The 20789-nt window shown below is 39.2% G+C and overlaps 1 protein-coding gene across 3 annotated transcripts in view, besides 1 other annotated feature; it reads left to right on the top strand.

Moving 5' to 3' along the window:
* RSF1 (remodeling and spacing factor 1) overlaps positions 1 to 12023 on the top strand; it is a 212224-nt gene extending 200201 nt beyond the window's left edge. For all 3 annotated transcript variants that reach the window (XM_017017923.2, XM_005274051.3, NM_016578.4), the window contains exon 16: positions 4541 to 12023. In XM_017017923.2, the coding sequence (XP_016873412.1) occupies positions 4541 to 5115 (575 nt within the window). In that variant the 3' untranslated portion in view covers positions 5116 to 12023. The remainder of the gene's footprint in view (positions 1 to 4540) is intronic.
* Positions 17061 to 17261: a silencer, noted in NCBI's record as "peak1363 fragment used in MPRA reporter construct". NCBI's record gives its function as "represses an SCP1 promoter by STARR-seq MPRAs in K562 erythroleukemia cells {active_cell/tissue: K562}" and the evidence as "EXISTENCE:reporter gene assay evidence [ECO:0000049][PMID:32103011]".

Below are 20789 nucleotides of genomic sequence, written 5' to 3'. Positions count from 1 at the left end.
GGTCTCCTATATATAGAAGTTTGGACAGGGCAAAATAGACATTATAAAGTGAACTCAGGATTGTGATTCTGTACCATTCTTTGAAACTCATATAACCAGGCCAGGCATGGTGGCTCACGCCTGTAATCCCGGCAGTTTGGGAGGCCAGGGCATGCAGATCACTTGAGGCCAGGAGTTCAAGACCAGCCTGTCCAACATGGTGAGACCTTGTCTCTACTAAAAATAAAAAAATTAGCCTGTGTGGTGATACGCGCCTGTAATCTTAGCTACTCAGGAGGTTGAGGCAGGAGAATTGCTTGAACCTGGGAGGCGGAGATTGCAGTGAGCCAAGGTTGTGCCACTGCACTCCACCCTGGGTGACAGAGCAAGACTGTGTCTCAAAAAAAAAAAAAAAAAATCCATATAACCAGTAGTATCTTTGAGATAAAACCTATAATCTTGTGCCTACCATAGTTTAAATAAAAGATACTCGATAAGAGGCTAATTTTTAAGATCTCCATTGTAATTTAAATTTTCATTGAAACTAGAAAAGTCTCAGAAAATTGTGATCTGATCAAGATTATTCTACTTCTTTTTCTTACTCCCTTATTCATGGCCCTCATTTTGAAATAACCTCTTATGTCCTTAATAGCTAAAAGGTTTCAAATAAAAGTGCCTACTGTCTCTTTCACCTTGACTATGATTTCAGTTGGAAACCGAAATCATTATTTCCTAATAGCTATAACTGTGCCCCCTACCAGTAGTACAAGACAAGCTCTAAAATATGAATTTCTTACATCCATTTAGTCTTTTTTGTTTTACTTAAATTATATATATATAGTGTATATATATATACACACATATATACATATAAATATATATATATATATATATATATATATATATATATATATTTTTTTTTTTTTTTTTTTTTTTTTTTTTTTTTGGTGACAGAGTCTTACTCTGTCACCCAGGCTGGAGTGCAGTGGTGTGATCTTGGCTCACTGCAACCTCCGCCTCCCAAGTTCAAACGATTCTCCTGGCTCAGCCTCCCAATAGCTAGGATTTTAGGCATGTGCCACCAAGCCTGGCTAATTTTTGTATTTTTAGTAGAGATGGGGTTTCACCATGTTGGCCAAGCTAGTCTCGAACTCCTGACCTCAGGTTATCCGCCCACCTTGGCCTCCCAAAGTGCTGGGATTACAGGCGTGAGCCACCGCGCCCGGCTTTATGGCCTGTTTTGAAGATTGTTTTGCTTTCATAGATTAAACATGAATTTAAGTTTGAGCCCAAGACAAAAGAGAAAGGGAAAAAAAATGTTTGGATGTGGGATGCTAAAGAAGGGAAGTGAACATCTTTTTCGAATGTGTACTTACCTTCATGTGTCACAGAAACAAACATAAATTGCATTAGTTAAGCCATTAAATATGAATATTTATTAAGCTAGGCCCTATTCCAAGCACTGGAATATAACAGCAAACAAAATAGCTCTTATGAAACTCTTATTTTAGTTGGGAAGAAGGTGACAATAAACAAGATAGATAAGTAGAATATATGATATATTAGAAATGAGTGCTTTGGAAAAAAATAAAGGAGAAAAGGGGGTTGGGAAAGTAGTTGAATTTCAGATAATATACTAAGGAAATCCTCACTAAGAAAACATTTGAGTGAAGACCTGAAAGAAATGTTGTGTGTGAGTCATGCACTTATCTAAAAGAAGAATGATACAGGCAGATGGAACAATAAATATGAAGGCCTTGAGGTATGTTTGTGCTTGTCATGTTCAGCAAACAGAAGGGAGTGCAGGGTTGTTGGAGCAGAATGAGTGAAGGCAGACATAATGAGATGAAGCAAAGAAGTCAGTGGGGGCCAGTCAGCAAACGAGAGCCCACCTGCTTACATAAATAAAAAAGCAAGGTTTTTGTTTTTGTTTTTGAGACAGGGTCTCACCCTGGCTGGCGTGCAGTGGCACAATCACAGCTCACCATAGCCTCAATCTGCTGTGCTCAAGCAGTCCACCTGCCTCAGCCTCCCAAGTGGCTAGAAGTGGCATAAGCCACCACACTGCTAATTTTTAAATTTATTTTATAGAGATGAGATCTTGCAGTGTTGCCCTGGCTGACCTTAAACTCCTGGCCTCAAGTGATCCCCCCTACCTTGGCCTCCCACAGTGTTAGGATTACAGGTGTAAGCCACTGCACCCTGCCCTGTAATACAGTTTTTACTGGAAGATTACCATACCAATTTGTTTACATATTGTCTGTTGCCTGCTTTCTCAAAAAGCTGAGTTGTTGTGACTGAGACTATAGGGCCTGCCTCTTACATAAAAAATGTGCTAACCTCTGATGATAAATAGTGCTGTGCAGTTAAACTTTCTGCACTGATTATATGTGTGCTGATCGTTACAATAGCCACTAACCTCATATGGCTATTGAGCACTTGAAATGTGGCTAGTGTGACCATGGAACTGAATTTTTATTTTTATTTAATTTTAACTAATTTAAATTTAAAATAACCACATGTGACTAGTGTTTATCATATTAGATAACACAGAGTAGGACATTGTATAGACTTTGGATTTTTATTTTGTGTAAGGTGAGAAACATTTGGGCCAAAGCACAGATGAGTATTCAGAAGCAGATGAGGAGGAAGAGGAAAGCAAACCATCCCACATTTTGAGCAAAAGAGTGATATGATCTGACTTAGATTTTAATTTGCTGTGGTAGCTGTGTTATGAATAGATTGAAGGGGGCCAGGGCAGAAGCTAGAAGACCCATTGGGAAGTTATTGTAATAGTCCAGGTGAGAGATGATGGAGGGTGGAACTGGGTCAGTAGCAGTAAAGGGATGAAAGCAGTCACATTGTGGATATGTTTTAAAGTGAGACCCAAAGGATTTACTGTTGGGTTGGATGAGAGAAAGAAAAGAATCAAGGATGACTGAGCAATTGGAGGAGCAATTGCCAAAAACTTAAGTTGGTAGAGACCACAGGGCTGCAGGTTTAAGGAGAAAGTTTAGGAGCCCAGTTTTAGACACATCATTTGAGATGCCTGTTTAGAGATATCCAAGCCTAGATGTCGAGTAGGCAGTTTGATACACTAGTCTGGAATTCAGTGGTTGCCTAAAATAAATGAGAGCCGTTAGCACATAGATGGCATGCCAAGTTGTGAGACTAGGTGAGTTCTTCTAAAATGGAAGTAGAGTCATCTTCAGTATCCATGGAGGATTGATTTCAGGATCCCCGCAGATATCAAAATCCTTGGATTTACAAGTCCCTCATATAAAATGGTGTCATATTCGCATATAACCTACCCATATCCTCTGTATACTTTAAATAAATCTCTAGAATATTTAAAATACCTGATACAGTGTAAATGTTATATAATTGTTATACTGTATTGTTTAGTGAATGACAAGAAAAAAGTCTATGTATGTTCAGACATTACCATCTATTTTTTTCCTGAATATTTTCCATCTGCAGTTGGTTAAATTAATGGATAGGGGGGCCCAACTATATAGACAAAGAAGAGAAGACAATTAAGACTACCAAGGGCGTCTAATAACTAAGATGAGAGTTGGCACAGTGTTTAAGAGGTACAGAGTTGGGTGTCCAGTTTGAATCTTTCCTTATCAGCGTGTTGACATGATAACCTAATTTGTGTACTAGTGGGAAGGAGTTTGTTAGTTTGAACTAACCTATCTTCATTTAATTCAAGCATTATCAGACATCTTCCCCCAAGAAATCTGCTGTTGGCTGGGCACAGTGGCTTACGCCTATAATCCCAGCACTTTGGGAGGCCAAGATGGGCAGATCACTTGAGGCCAGGAGTTCGAGATCAGTCTGGCCAACATGGTGAAACCCCGTCTCTACTAAAAATGCAAAGAAATTAGCTGGGTGTGGCGGCACACACACCTGTAATCCCAGCTACTTGGGAGGCTGAGACAGGAGAATTGCTTGAATCTGGAAGGCAGAGGTTGCAGTGAGCCTAGTTTGCGCCATGATACTCCAGCCTGGGAGACAGAGTGAGACTCTATCTCAAAAAATAAAGAAGGTCAGGCACAGTGGCTCATGCCTGTAATCCCAGCACTTTGGGAGGCCAAGGCAGATGGATCACAAGGTCAGGAGTTCGAGACCAGCTTGGCCAACATAGTGAAACCCCGTCTCTACTAAAAATACAAAAAGTTAGCCAGGCGTGGTGGCTGGCGCCTGTAATCCCAGCTACTCGGGAGGCTGAGGCAGGAGAATCGCTTGAACCCAGGAGGCGGAGGTTGCAGTGAGCCAAGATCACACCATTGTATTCTAGCCAGGGCAACAGTGCGAGACTCTGTCTCAATAAAAAAAAAGAAAATATTGTCTAAAATCATAAATAAAGTACACCATGAATCATATTGGGCATTGTTATGGGACTGAGAAGAGAGAAATCAGGCCAATTATTGAAAGGAAACATTTAGGTACAAGCAATTCTGAAAGCAGGACGTGGGGTGAATATCGGGAGGAAAAGGAGAATTAAATTCGTTTATGGTTAACCGTGCCAATGGCTTAAATGTGCTGTTTATTCTAGAGAGCTATTTGTCCAAGAACTCTGAAGATGATGAGCTAGCTAAAGAATCAAAGCGGTCAGTTCGAAAGCGGGGCCGAAGCACAGACGAGTATTCAGAAGCAGATGAGGAGGAGGAGGAAGAGGAAGGCAAACCATCCCGCAAACGGCTACACCGGATTGAGACGGATGAGGAGGAGAGTTGTGACAATGCTCATGGAGATGCAAATCAGCCTGCCCGTGACAGCCAGCCTAGGGTCCTGCCCTCAGAACAAGAGAGCACCAAGAAGCCCTACCGGATAGAAAGTGATGAGGAAGAGGACTTTGAAAATGTAGGCAAAGTGGGGAGCCCATTGGACTATAGCTTAGTGGACTTACCTTCAACCAATGGACAGAGCCCTGGCAAAGCCATTGAGAACTTGATTGGCAAGCCTACTGAGAAGTCTCAGACCCCCAAGGACAACAGCACAGCCAGTGCAAGCCTAGCCTCCAATGGGACAAGTGGTGGGCAGGAGGCAGGAGCACCAGAAGAGGAGGAAGATGAGCTTTTGAGAGTGACTGACCTTGTTGATTATGTCTGTAACAGTGAACAGTTATAAGACTTTTTTTCCATTTTTGTGCTAATTTATTCCACGGTAGCTCTCACACCAGCGGGCCAGTTATTAAAAGCTGTTTAATTTTTCCTAGAAAACTCCACTACAGAATGACTTTTAGAAGAAAAATTTCAACAAATCCTGAAGTCTTTCTGTGAAGTGACCAGTTCTGAACTTTGAAGATAAATAATTGCTGTAAATTCCTTTTGATTTTCTTTTTCCAGGTTCATGGTCCTTGGTAATTTCATTCATGGAAAAAAATCTTATTATAATAACAACAAAGATTTGTATATTTTTGACTTTATATTTCCTGAGCTCTCCTGACTTTGTGAAAAAGGGTGGATGAAAATGCATTCCGAATCTGTGAGGGCCCAAAACAGAATTTAGGGGTGGGTGAAAGCACTTGTGCTTTAGCTTTTTCATATTAAATATATATTATATTTAAACATTCATGGCATAGATGATGATTTACAGACAATTTAAAAGTTCAAGTCTGTACTGTTACAGTTTGAGAATTGTAGATAACATCATACATAAGTCATTTAGTAACAGCCTTTGTGAAATGAACTTGTTTACTATTGGAGATAACCACACTTAATAAAGAAGAGACAGTGAAAGTACCATCATAATTAACCTAAATTTTTGTTATAGCAGAGTTTCTTGTTTAAAAAAAAATAAAATCATCTGAAAAGCATTTGTACAGTAAAATGTATAATGAAGCTTTGCCAACCAGACTGTGCTAGCAACAAATTTTTTTAAATAAGCTTTATGCAGTGGTAATAAGGTGGCCTCAAATATATTGTGTCTGATGGAGAGTTATTAGTGAAATGAATGTGGTCTTTCTTAAGGCCTGGGTGGACTGTAAACTTTGCCAATAGTATAACTCTTGTCTTCTGGCCACTTGATGTTTAAATATCTGAAATATCATTTTGAAAAAAATACATCTATATATAACATACATGAAGAGATGCTAAGCTGACAGTGATATTTTAGCACATTTGAAGACTGGGAAGAGATTTTCAGGTGAATTTTAACTGGTCTATTCTTGCCCTTAGTATCTACTTCAAATTGAAGTCTACAAACAAAGCAGTTCCTTTGGGAGGTTTTTAGTTTGAGTTTTAGCGTGTGTGTGTGTTTGTGTGTGTGCGTGTGCGTGTGTGTGTGTGTTGGAATTTCCTATCTGCCTGGATATATTAGCAGAGTTTGAATGTAGTTTTGGCCTTTGGCCATTAGACTTCTATTAAAATTCATTAATAGTCATACAACCAACATAGAGTTGAATGAGAACTGCCGATGTAATTAATAGGCATGACATCCATTTCAAACATCTCAACACTTTAAAGAAAAGCCCTTTGTTTCAAGAAAAAAGGGTTTGTAACTAACTAAATACCTAACATGTAATTGACACTAAAATATGAACTTTGTCTTATTTAGTTTCTGTTATAGCTGTAAAATTTCAGGCAGAGCCATAACATTGTACAGAGTGTAGCACTTGTGATTAAACCTAGCCTGTTAAATCCTGAAACCTTCAACCATTACTTCTGTGAATACTTTAGCCCTGGGATTTGGGTTTTTCTGTTCCGGTGTTGTGTCTGTTGCCGGCAATGGACACACCATATCTGCTGCTGGCCCAAGGAACGTCATTAATTTTTCTTTCCAAATTAAGTATTATGTGCTAGTCAGTGTATAGTAAAGCACTTCTCTTTTTTATTACTAAAAAGCTGGCATTAGATTTGCATTATAAATACCTCTCTAGGAACTTTATACTCCTTTTCCTTCTTCAACAGGTATTGCCCTTAAATCTTATCTTTTGGCCTTGAAAGTTTATAGCTATTGTTTTTCAGTTGTTCGTTGTTTTGTTTTGTTTCACTTTAGTTCTGTAGTACCTGCCCATTAATATTTTTGCTTTGATTCTAGCAATGTGTATGTATCTGTATAAAAAATAAAATAATGAAAGCAACCTAAAAATAGGATGCACCAATAGCATGTGGTTCCAAGTAAGTTGTGATTTTTATTTTGAGACAGTGTTCCACTGGAAGGGAGGGAAGGGCTTACATTCACAGACAGTAAAGCAGGGCTGTGTAAGGAGCTACATTTACTTAACAGTCTCCTTTCCAGCTAGGTTTGTTTTATTTATTTGCAAGTCAGCTAAGAATTAACCTTTTAAACCATCTAAAACAGGCAAGCAATATAAAGATTTCTACTAGTGCAAGGTAAGTGGTTTGAATATACAAGTGCCCTTTCCTGCCACCCAGTCTCACTACCGTTTTAGTCCTGCAGCTGGGTAAAGCCACTATTGTGTGGAAACTCTCCCATGTGCCCTGTCTCTACCTCTGGACACACCAGCTCCTTCTTCCACCTATTCTATTCCTCAGTTAAGCCAAGTGATCAGAAGTAGTATTAAATGGGTAGATAATTTTAACAGGATGCCTAATGTGAAATAAGGAGTTATTTTTACTCTTCTACTATAGAAAGCCTAAGGTAATTCTTACCATCTCAAAGACTGAGTATTCCATTTAGGTTTGGAGACCACTTGTGCTGTGCTGCCTGATATTTACCAAACTTGAATAAGTGTTCGTCAACTTGATAGTGAATGTACCCCTTCTCACCTTATATTTTGATTAAATCAATTAACTATAGGTCATCTACCAAGAATGTAATCCAAGCGGTTGATAAAACATTATTAGGCAGATAGATTATTGATTATTAAATTTTGAGCAGTGCAAAAACGGTTTTGCTGCTTGGAGTTCAGATTCAGTCCCTCAAAGAGTTTATGATCACTGAAATACACTCTGAAGGTATTCTGAAGAAGTTAAAAAATTTTAGAAAACGAAATGTTCTGTATACAAAGACAATACAGTCACTACGAACTGCAGAAAGTATAGGAAAGCAGTAATTGATGTAGAGTTTAGACAGTCTTGGATCTTTTTTAGAGCACTAACCATGGATTTAGACTCAAAATAGCTGCTACATAATAGAGCCCTTTAATAATTTAAACCCCCCTTGTTGAAATACAAGTTGGACTCCCAGTGTCAAACTCTAGACTGTAGCTAATGTATTAAAGGGAGATGTAGATTAATATTCAGTATATTTAGTTTGCAATTTCTGAAAAGGTTTGAAAACTAGTCAGCTTTTCACACAGCAGAAGCTTTGAACTGAAATATGTGTGAAAAGGACGCAGACTGAAAACGTTTTGGTTTTGTACATCAGTGCTGATGAAATTAGTGTAAAACATTTTCCATCATTGGCACATTACTGCAAAATGATGGCAGAGATATTTTCAAGAATGTACATCAAGTTATATTTCCTTGACATCCTTTTTTCAATTGGTCAAGGTTACAGATTCAGAGGATAAAGGGTAGTTTCATTTAGAATAAATTCATGTCTACTGGCAATCTATATATAAAAGTGACCTGCCCAAGAACCAAAAACTTTAAATGCTAATGAAGCTTTTGAAAAATAATTTTTAAACAAATTAATTTTAAAAGGGTGTTACACGTACCCAGTTTTTACTTTTTAGTTGATGAAACCCATCCTATAATATACATTTGAGCAAAGTACACATATTAAGAAAAACATGGACATTTACTTGTTTAATAGTCAAAATGATGAGGAAATGTTAGCTGTTTTTAAGTGGGACTGGTGGGGTGTCCTTTGTCACAAGGAATGCTTTTTTAGCTTGTTTGTGGGCATAAGAGATGTTAACCCTTTGCTGATTCTACCACACAACTGTAAAGAACCTAATGAATCTACAAGTTTAATATTCAGAAAAAGCTAGGAACTCCGCTCTTTACCAGTACAGTGGAACAGGCCCGTTATTCAAGGTGATGCCTCACAGCTATAGAACAACTATTCAAAGACCCAGAGTTAAATGGTACATGTGTATATGTGTGTGTGTGTGTGCACACGCACACACTTCAGATAAGTATCAGAAAAAATAAAAATGAATCCATCATTAACTTGAAAGAAATAAGATGGCTGCATTGCAACAGATACAAATATTATGAACATCATTTAATTACAGAAAATCTAGACAACAGTTTCTCCTGATGTTTGACATTCTCAAAATATATTCCTCATTCTCGAAGAAGCAGAGAATGCCAAGGCTGCATATCTGCTGTAATCTACCTAGCCCTCTTCTGCTTAATATGATCCATTATTGAATCTTCTCAGATTAAAATCCATTCCTATATCATCTACCTTTCCCAAAGTGTGTGCCTGTAAACCTACCTTGGAAGTGGCAAGTTAACTGATTTTTTTGTGTCATTTTTATACCAATCCTTAAGGTCAAAGCCTTTTGCTATCAATGTATTTAAACTGAGTTGCTATATGTTCACTAATTTGTTTTCAAAATGTTTTGCTCCAACTTAAATTATCTTTTAACATCTTTTGAGTGCCAAGAATTGCTAAGTAACTGTAATATGTTGAAGAGAGTAATTGCCAAGCAAGCAGTCATAAGCCAAAATGTAATGAGCTTAGTATATAACCACTTTAGAGTATACACTCACCACTTTTTGTATTCATTCATGCAAACCCTCCTGGAAGTCGATTAGAAGAGGATCCAATTTGTGGACCTTTTTTCCTCCTTTTGGACACCTGAGCACAATTTTTTTTTTCCTTTCATATTTATACCACTTTGGAAAATTCAGTAAACCCAATTCTGGCACATCATAATGGTTTCAGTTAGTGAAGATGTTTATTTTAATAACTTTAAAATATGACTATCCTATACATAAGTTATATAAGAGGGCATAACAATAGATGAGTAGAAATTTATAAAATTTCTTGGATATTTTGAATGAGAAAAAAACATTTTTAAAGGAATTTTGTTTTTTCCTTTTTTGGCCAAACCGGTACAAGTTAGAAAGTGTGCTAAGGACTGAATACTTGCCTCGTGCTTTTTGCCACTGGATGATGTAAGTTAAGAATGGAATTGTTAATCCTAAGTATATATTTTCTTGACTTTCATCAGTTTCTAAAGAAATCTAATTTAAGTGTTTTGCGGTTTTGTTTGATCTGTATTTATTGAGTTCTGGTCATAGACCAGCAGCTTGCACGTCATGCTCATGAACAGCCAGAACATAGTTATTGGGGAACTTCATGGCTCAAAACCTTCTGAATCATTTAACTTATTTTGTATGTTGCAAAAAAAAAAAAAAAGTTTATTTTGCTTGAGAGTCACCTTTTTTTAAAAAAAATAACTGTACAGCTTTTAAGGGATGGGAGGTGGGAAAATACCCTAAAATAGGATGTAGATTTTTTACAATTGTGTTTATGCTAGATCATCTACAGGTGCATTATGTAATTAAACCTAAAATTGTTTAAAAATTTGTGCCATGTCTTTTTCATTCTCCTGCCCTTTAGCAGAATTGGTGCATGTCAACTGCTATGTGGACAAGCCTTGAAATTAGAGTAACAAGCCCTGTCTCCAAAGCTTTAAGGTCACTGCATGAAAATTGCACACACACACACACACACACACACATCTAGCTTATATTAGTAAATGGATTTTCAGGATCAGAACAGCTACAGTAGCCCAGATTTGGCTGTTAACAGCATATTCTTACAGCACATGATTTTTGTGATGCCTAACTAGGGTATTCTCAATGTTAGTCTGGTGTTCTATTCTCTTTCAAAGTAGCTTCTTGAGATGGTATCTGTTGTAGCTTGCCCAAACCTGCCATGAGGTTGTGTGTACACTTTGAAAGGGTATGTCCTATGCTAAGATGGTGGTAGAGCAGGGCTTGATTTTAATCTATTCATATAAAAGAAGGAAAAAACTAGAATTGGTCTATTTGGTTATTCAGTGGACTTAATTCCACAGGAATAGTTGTCTGCTGAAGCGTGGCAGCAAGAGAAGTCAAATTCAAGTTTCAGTTCCTTCCTTATTCACTAAGTATTTTGAAATCTTGTAGAACTTCTGATTCTAGCACAGTCTTTTACATGGCACATTTTACCATGGTATATTCACAGCTTCGTTTAAATGTCAGTACTTTTTCCCATCTGATAATTTTGCCATTCTAATTTCTCACCTTTGTAGTACAAGTGTATTCTTGAAAATAATTAAATTCATCTAAGTGTGTCATAATTTCAATCAAAGCTATATTCATGTGTTGCCAGCGTCAGTTTTTTGCTATCCTCATTCAGAAGGGAAGCCTGCAGATCATGAGTTTCCATATGAAGAATACAAATTCCACATAAAAATTTATAAATGGTATCTTTAGAATTTTGATTTAAAGTAATAGCTGGAATTCAGGGACTGATCAGAATGCCTCTTGAATTTTCCAACATGCTTATATGAAATGCTTTATTTTCCTATGCGTTAAAAAAAATATTCCTGGAATAGGTTCTCAGAATGTTTTATTTGGTTTCTAGGAGATGAGATTTAAAGCAGAAGCTCCAAGATTGGCATAAAACTAACTCTTGAGGTAATCAGGACCATGCTGTTAGTCAAATAGAAGCTGGAGTGCTCTCTGTCACATAATGTACTGCATGTGTGTGGGGGTGGGGGGGCAGGGAAGATCAGAAAACTGGAAATGTAATTCTGATAACACGCAAAGTAAATTGTGCATTAAAAGTATGGGAATTCTTGGTAGCTTAAAGCTTCAGGGGTTAACTTCAGTGTATGAACACCTAGTGTGTTAGAATTGCAGTGCATAGTTGTTTAAATACAATATTCCTTGTAAGTGACAACCAAAATATGTTGTGGCTGGTGCCAGTATTTTTGTTAATGAAATGTTCAGTGTCTCACTACAGTCTGATCAGAACTCTTGGTGTTATAAGCCAGGCCTAAAGCCATTTTATAGCTATTGGCCTAATTGTGTAACTTTTTCTTTCAAAATGTTTTATTATAATACTTCTGTCATTTCTTTCACTTAATATGTCAATTGTCATAATAAAAATTTAAATTTGAATTATTTAGCATGATGTGTTTGCAAACTTAGCTTATTTTAAATTTTGTGGCACATGGAACAAATTGTCTGTAACAGTTCATGACGGTTAAAATTTATCACCCAGGCCTAGATGAATTGTTCTCCCGCTATCTAGAAAGTAAATTTGCAAGTGCATCAGTTTCCCTAAAATAATTTTTAAGGCTATTTGCCAACTAGACAAATATAGATATTAGAAAACTATTATTGATTTCTATATTTAGCCTCTGGAGAACTAACACATTATAGAGGCTGTGGACTTGTTCTGTGTGGTCCCATAAGAGCACAGAACTAGACCAGAGGACAGAAGCCATAGGGCAAAAGTTTTCCATTCATTCTATGGAGGAAGCTTAGTTCTCTAATAATAAACAAGCTTGGAAGTGAATTATTAGGAATAGGGGATGTTTGGGAGACCAAACATCCACACATTGATCCACGCCTTAAAAAATGGATTAAACCAAATGACTAACCGGTCCTTCCAACCCTGAGTAGGCTTCTCAGCTACAAATGATTTGACAGTTTTTATTTACTCTTGAAATACAGTAAAATTCACACTGAACTTGCTTTTTTACCAACAAACTAGCAGAGTATTTGTGATTCTGATGGAAAATATTAACTAGGTAAAGAACTTTTGAAGAATTTCACCTAATGGAGTAAAAGCTGGTCGGTGCTAGCAAGAAAATGGCTAGTTACAATGCTAAATTTATTTGAAATTTTCACTTTAAGAGAATCAGTCAAATAACGTGAGCCACTGTGCCCAGCCAGCCCATTTCTTTTTCAGATTATAAGACCAGAAGATGTAGAACAGTTCTTTTCTTTTACAAATAGAATTGGTGTACTATTCTGTGATTCTTTAGTAGAGGCGGAATTATAAAAAATAACGAAAATATCCTATTGAAGTTAAATGTTGGGACCCTTCTGGGTGAGATTAATGCTTGTGTCATTTTGATTCTTAATGAGTTTGCATGAGCTCTTTAGGGTACTAAAAGTCTAAATGAATATCAAAGAGAAAGGACACTCTAAGAGGATGTAACTTGACATTGCAATGTAGCATATACAGTCAAATCCCAACTGAAGACAGCTGGGAACCTACTAGTATTGATATCGGCCACCTATGGCTTCCTTATCACTCCTCCTTGCCCATTTCAGAGCCACTTTACCCACATTTGAGCACCTATCTTTCTCCCTAGTCCTGTCTCTGAGGAGGTATCTTCTTTTTGCAGTACCTTGTCTGCCTGTGTCCTTGATCGGTCGTCTTTTTATTACCGCCTCTGGGTCTTTCACATCTTACTTTTCTATCTCTGATCTCCATTACTTGACACACACTCCTCTCTAAATAAAGTTCTCCCTATTGTGGAAAATGAAAGTTTGATCCTGTCTCTGGTTCAATACCCTTCCCAGTTACTTCTTATTTAACTTCCAGTCTTTAAAATAAATAGACTATGGAAAACCCTAAAGTGTATTTGGAAATTATTACTGAAATGTCAGAAATTCCTAAGAGAAACTCCAGGAAACAAACCACCATCTCAGCAACATACTTTATTATCAGGAACAGCTGTTACAGAAAGCTGAAACTTAAAACAGGAATGTGATTCCTCCCTTTTCCCTGTACTTGCTTCATGTTTGTCTGTTGAATGTAATGTGCATTTTGTTTTCTCTTTGACATTATTGCTTGCTAGTGGGACACCAGTAATTGCACTGTGAACTCACATAACCAAATAGCTCTTACTCTACCATTTAGAACCAAAAAGTTAGAGGAAGTACTTCATTAATGATGATAGAACCTTATTTGAACCTGTACTGTCCTAGCTTCAACCATAAAAGATTTTCTGTAGCAACAACAAAGAGAGGTAGCTGGCTCAATGCTATTAGGTTGGTGCAAAAGTAATTGCAGTTTCTGCTGTATATAATATACATATATCTATTTTTTTTAAAGGCAAAAACCACAATTTTTTTTTTTTTTTTTTTTTTTTTTTTTTTTTGAGACAGAATCTCGCTCTGTCGCCCAGGCTGGAGTGCAGTGGTGTGATCTCGGCTCACTGCAACCTCCGCCTCCCAGTTCAAGGGGTTCTCCTGCCGCAGCCTGCCGAATAGCTGGGATTACAGGCATGTGTGCCAACATGCCCAGCTGATTTCTTTGTATTTTTAGTAGAGACTGGGTTTCGCCATGTTGGCCAGGCTGGTCTGGAACTCCTGACCTCAGGTGATCCACCTGCCTGGGCCTTCCAAAATGCTGGGATTACAGGCGTGAGCCACCGCGTCTGGCCCAACAATTAGTTTTGCACCAACCTAATAGAAAATCAGAAAGTTGGCTTCAGATTCAGAATAATGCAGAAGTAGGGCTGGAATTTTACTGGCCAATGCTCTGAGCAGAACCAGGAGAGGGCCAGAGAGCCCAGGATGAAAGGCAAGGATCTCTTGGGTGCAGTGGCTCATGCCTGTAATCCCAGCACTTTGGGAGGCTGAGATGGGAGGATTACTTGAGGTCATAAGTGATGATGATGAGTGGTCACTACAGCCTGAGCAACAGAGCGAGACTCCATCTCAAAAAAAAAAAAAAAAGGAAAAGAAAGACAAGGATCCACAAGCAGGAAAAGTATATCAGAGAAGGGAGATGGAATGCTAAGAAGCCGTCTTTAAGATGACTGTCCCCTTTTTGACATAGCCATCTTTTTTTTTTTTTGAGATGGAGTCTCACTGTGTCGCCCAGGCTGGAGTGCAGTGACTCGATCTCGGCTCACTGCAACCTCCACCTCCCGGGTTCAAGTGATTCTCCTGCCTCAGTCTCCCGAGTATCTGGGACTACAGGCGTGCACCACCACGCCCAGCTAATTTTTTGTATTTTTAGTAGAGACAGAGTTTCATTGTGTTAGCCAGGATGGTCTCGATCTCCTGACCTTGCGATCCTCCTACCTCGGCCTCCCAAAGTGCTGGGATTACAGGCGTGAGCCACCGCACCCGGCGGACAGCCACTTTTAATAATCTGGATGTGCTTACATAACGATGTCCAAAAGAACTTGTAAGTTTTATTTATAAAAGTTTCTTGTTTTTTATTGAGATAATTCACATACCATAAAGTTCACCATTATAAAGTGTACAATTCAGAGGTCTTTAGTGTTACTGGTAGAGGGTCTTGACTGCAAGTTGTCCAGGTTCTTGGCGCTTTGAACAAAGAATTGGACAAAACACCCAGCAAAGCAAAGAAAGAATGAAGTAACAAAAGAAGGAAAGCAGGGATTTATTGAAAATGAAAGTACACTCCACAGTGTGGAAGCTGGAGAAGCAGCGACTCAAGGGCCCGGATACAGAATCTTCTCAGGTCCAAGTACCCCCTAGAGGTTTTCCATTGGCCACTTCCTGCTCACCTCATGTAAATGAAGTGGTAGCTCTCAATCGGTCTGATTGGTTGTGGAAAGCAACCAATCAAAGACTGAAGTGGAGGGTACAACGCTCACTCTCCTCTTTTTGCAACCAATCAGAGGCTAAGGTAAAGTTAGAAAGTTGCAAACGAAGACCGGCCGGCAAACAGTCTGATTGGTTTCAGGCAGCCAGTTTCCCAACTGCCCAGCAGAAAAGGTGGGGGGTTTGCAAAGGGAGTAGTAGCCTCTGGTCCTTTTGTTACTTAGGCTGTGGAAAGTTATGAGTTTTCTTTTCAACTTGGTTCTAAGAAGTGATGTGAAATGGCCTTAGGTTCCCTGCCTCCAGACCCTATTCTCCTGCCTCATCAAGCATATTCACAAGGTTGTCAACACCCTAAAAACGCCCTACTCATTAGTAGTGACTACCTATTTCCTCCGTAGTCCCTGCCAAGTACTATTACTTTCTATCTCTACAAATGTGCCTCTTCTTGACATTTCATATAAATGGAATCACACTGTATAGCCCTTACGGATCTAATGTCTTTTATTTAACATGTTTTCAAGGTTCGTCATGTAATAGCATAAGTTAGTACTTCTTTTTTTTTTTTTACAGTCTTGCTCTGTCACCCAGGCTGGAGTGCAGTGGCATGATCTCAGCTCACTGCAACCTCTGCCTCCCGGGTTCAAGCAATTCTCCTGCCTCAGCCTCCCGAGTAGCTGGGATTACAGGCGTGTGCCACCATGCCTGGCTAATTTTTGTATTTTTAGTAGAGATAGGGTTTCACCGTGTTAGCCAGGCTGGTCTTGAACTCCTGACCTCAGGTGATCCACCCACCTCGGCCTCCCAAAGTGCTGGGATTACAGGTGTGAGCCACCGCGCCCGGCCACTTCATTCTTTTATATGCATGAATAATATTCTACTGTATGTATATGCCACATCTTGTTTATCCATTTGAACATTTGAGTAATTTCCACTTTGAGGCTATGAATGGTCAGGGCTATTAGAAATAATAAACATTCATGTACAAGCTTTGAGTGTGCATGCATGTTTTTCATTCTTGAGTGCATACCTAGGAGTGGAATTGCTGGATCATATGATAACTCTATGTTTAACTTTTGAAGAAATTTGAACCTGTTTTACACAGTGCCTGCACCTTTTTACATTCCCACTAGCAATGCACAAGTGTTCCAATTTCTCCACATCAACAATATTTATTATTGACAGTCTTTTTATTATGGCTATTCTAGGGGATATGAAGTGGTATCTCATTGTGGTTTTGATTTGCATTTCCTAGTGATTAATGATGTTGAGCATCTTCTCATGCGCTTACTCACTGCTCATATATTTTCTTTGTAGAAATGTCCATTTAAATCCTTTGCCTATTTTTATGATCAGGAATGGTGGCTTATGCCTGTAATCCCAGACCTATGGGAGGCCAAGGCAGGAAGATTGCTTGAGGCCAGGAATCTGAGACCAGCCTGGGCAACATAGTGAGATCCCATTGATACAAAAAAAATTTTAAAAATTAGTCAAACATGGTGGTATGTACCTGTAGTCCCAGCAGTTTAGGAGGCTAAGGCAGAAGGATCACCTGAGCCCAGGAGTTGCAGGCTGCAGTGAGCCATGATCATGCCACTGCACTCTGGCCTGGGTGACAGAGCAAGATGCCATCTCTTTAAAAAAAAAAAAAGAGAGAGGCAAGGCACAGTGGCTCACGCCTCTAATCTCAGTACAGCAGTTCGGGAGGCCAAGGTGGGAGGATCGCTTGAGGCCAGGAGTTTCAGGTTACAGTAAGCTATGACAGCACCACTGCACTACAGCCTGGGTGACAGAGCAACACCCTGTCTTTACAAAAAAACAAAAATAAATCCTCTGTCCCACCTCCTTTTTTCTTTTTTTTTGCTTTTTTTCATGGAAATGTCCCAAAAACCTCTACCTATTTTTAATTGAGCTGTCTTTTTATTGTTGAGCTATAAGTAAATACCAGCTGAATTCTGAATACCAGACCTTTACCAAATATATGATTTGCAATATTTTCTATGATTCTGATAAATCACTTTCTTGATAGTGTCCTTTGATACACAAAGGTTTTTTAACTTTGCCGGTGTCCAATTTCTGTTTTCTTTTCTTTGGTTGCCTATGCTTGATGTTAGAGATCTAAGAAAACACTGCCTAAGTCAGTATCTTGAAGATTTACATTTTATGTTTTCTTCTAAGAGTTTTATAGGTTTAGCTCTTTTTTTTTTTTTTTTTTTTTTTTTTTTTTTTTTGAGACAGGGTCTCATTCTGTCACTCAGGCTGAAGTGCAGTGGTACAATCTGGCTCACTACAACCTCCGCCTCTTGGGTTCAAGCAGTTTTCATGCCAACAGCCTGCAAGTAGCTGGGATTAACAGGCATGAGCCACCACACCTGACCCAATTGGTTTAACTCTTTTTTTTTTCCCCCTGATATGGAGTTTCACTCTTGTTGCCCAGGCTAGAGTGCAATGGCACAATCTTGGCTCACCGCAACCTCTGCATCCCGGGTTCAAGCAATTCTCCTGCCTCAGCCTCCCGAGTAGCTGGGACTACAGGTATGCGCCGCCATGCCCAGCTAATTTTGTATTTTTAATAGAGACGGGGTTTCTCCATGTTGGTCAGGCTGGTCTCAAACTCCCAACCTCAGATGATCCGCCCACCTCGGCCTCCCAAAGTGCTGGGAGGTTTAACTCTTAAGTTTAGGCCTTAGATCCCTTTGGAGTTATTTTTGTATATGATGAGAGGTAAGGATCCAAATTCATTCTTTTGCATGTGGTTAAACAGTTGTTTCAGCACGATTTGTTGAAAATACTATTCTTGGCCAGTTGCAGTGGCTTACGCTTGTAATCCCAACACTTTAGGAGGCCAGGGTAGGCAGATAGCTTGAGCTCAGGAGTTCAAGACCAGACTGGGCAACATGGCTAAATGCTGTCTCTAGAAAACAACAACAACAACAACAATTAGCCGGGTGTGGTGGTGCATGCCTAAGGTCCCAGCTACTCAGGAGGCTGAGATGGGAGAATTGCTTGAACCCGGGAGGCGGAGGTTGCAGTGAGCCAAGATTGTACCACTGCACTCCAGCCTGGGCAACAGAGTGAGACCCTGTCTCAAAAAATTAAAAAGAAAAGAAAAGATACTATTTTTTCCTTCATTTAATTATCTTGGCATCCCTGTCAAAAATCTATTGACCCTAAATGTATGGGTTTACTTCTGGATTCTCAATTTGGTTCCATTGAGCTATACATCTGTCCTTATTCTACTACTACACAGTGTTGATCACTGTAACTTCTTACTAAGATACAAAATCAGGCAATGTAAGTCCTTTAGTTTGGCTCCTTTTTTTTATTCAAGACTGTTTTAACTATTCTGGGCTCCTTAAATTTCCATGTGAATTTTAGGTTCCATTTGTCAATTTCTGTGAAAAAAGGCAGTTGGAATTTTGATATAGATTGCGTTTGTTTGTTTGTTTGTTTGTCTGTTTGTTTTGAGACAGAGTTTCGCTCTTGTTGCCCAGGCTGGAATGCAATGGCGTGATCTCAGCTCACCTCAACCTCTGCCTCCTGGGTTCAAGCGATTCTCCTGCCTCAGCCTCCCTAGTAGCTGGGATTACAGGCATGTGCCACCATGCCTGGCTAATTTTTGTATTTTTAGTAGAGATGGGGTTTCACTGTGTTGGCCAGGCTGGTCGTCAATGCCTGACCTCAAATGATCCACCCACTTCAGCCCCCCAAAATGCTGGGATTACAAGTGTGAGCCACTGTACCCAGCCAAATTTCATTTTTGTATTGTTCATTGCTAGTGTACAGAAATACAACTGTAGTCCCAGCTACTCAGAGGGCTGATGCAGGAGGACTGCTTGAACCAAGAAGTTCAAGGCCAGCCTGGGCAACATAGCAAGACCCCTCTCTAAAAAAAAAAAAGCTAAGCAGAAAATAAATACAACTGTTTTTTAGTTTTTTGTTTTTGAGATGGAGTTTTGCTCTTATTGCCTAGGCTGGAGTGCAATGGTGCAATCTTCGCTCACTGCAACCTCTGCCTCCCAGGTTCAAGCGATTGTCCTGCTTCAGCCTCCCAAGTAGTTGGGATTACAGGCATGTCCCACCATGTCCAGCTAATTTGTATTTTTAGTAGAGATGGGGTTTCACTATGTTGGTCAGGCTGGTCTCGATCTCCTGACCTCAGGTGATCCACCTACCTCGGCCTCCCAAAGCACTGGGATTACAGGTGTGAGCCACCGCACCCGGCCTAAATACAATTGATTTTTATTTAGGAATAAACTTAACTAAGCAGATGAAAGACTTGCGTACTGACTGCTGTCAAAAAAACAAACAAAAAATAATAATAAGGGTTGATGAGGACATGCCCAAAATGGAATCCCTGAGCATTGTTGGCAGGAATGTAAAATGGTGCAGCTGCTGTGGAAAACAATACAGAAGTACAGCAGTTTCTCAAAAATGTTTAAACACAATTACCAAACGATCCAGCAATTTTGCTTCTTGGCAAACATTGAAAAGAACTGAAAGCAGACTTTCAAAGGGATATCTATTTTTTTGGTTGTGTGTGTTTTCTGTTTGTTTGTTTTTTGAGACAGAGTCTCACTGTCGTTCAGGCTGGAGTGCAATGGTGTGATCTCGGCTCGCTGCGTCCTCCGCCTCCTGGGTTCGAGCGATTCTCCTGCCTTAGCCTCCCGAGTAGCTAGGATTACAGGAGTGTGCCACCATGCCCGGCTAATTTTTGTATTTTTAGTAGAGACGGGGTTGCACCATGTTGGCCAGGCTGGTCTCGAACTCCTGACCTCAAGTGATCCACTCACCTCAGCCTCCCAAAGTTCTGGGATTACAGGCATGAGACACTGTGCCCGGCCTCAAAGGGATATCTGTACACCCATATTCACAGAAGCACTATTCACAATAACCAAAGTTGGAAGCAACCCAGGTGTCCATCAACAGATTAATACAATCAAAATGTGGTATAAACATACAGTGGAATATTATTCTCCTTTAAAAAGGAAGAAAATTCTGATGAGTTATAATTTGGATAAACCTTGAGGACATTATGCTAAATGAAGTAAGCCAGTCACAAAAAGACAAATACTACTTATGTGAGGTACCTAGAATCATTAAATTCATACAGACAGTAGAATGGTGGTTGCCCGGGGCTTAGGCAGGAGGGTAATGAAGTGTTTTTGTTTAATGGGTATAGATTTTCAGTTTAGTAAAATGAAAAGAGTTTTCCAGATAGATGGTGGTAATGGTTGCAAAACAATGTGAATGTATTTAACACCACTGAACTGTATACCTGAAAATGGTTCAGATTGTAAATTTTACATGATGTGTATTTTACTACAAGTGTAATAAGAAAAAAAAATACAC

This window comes from Homo sapiens, chromosome 11, assembly GCF_000001405.40.
Source record: "Homo sapiens chromosome 11, GRCh38.p14 Primary Assembly".
Lineage (NCBI taxonomy): Eukaryota > Metazoa > Chordata > Mammalia > Primates > Hominidae > Homo > Homo sapiens.
Note: the sequence above shows the minus strand (reverse complement) of the source record. Positions and strands in the feature narration are given on the sequence as shown.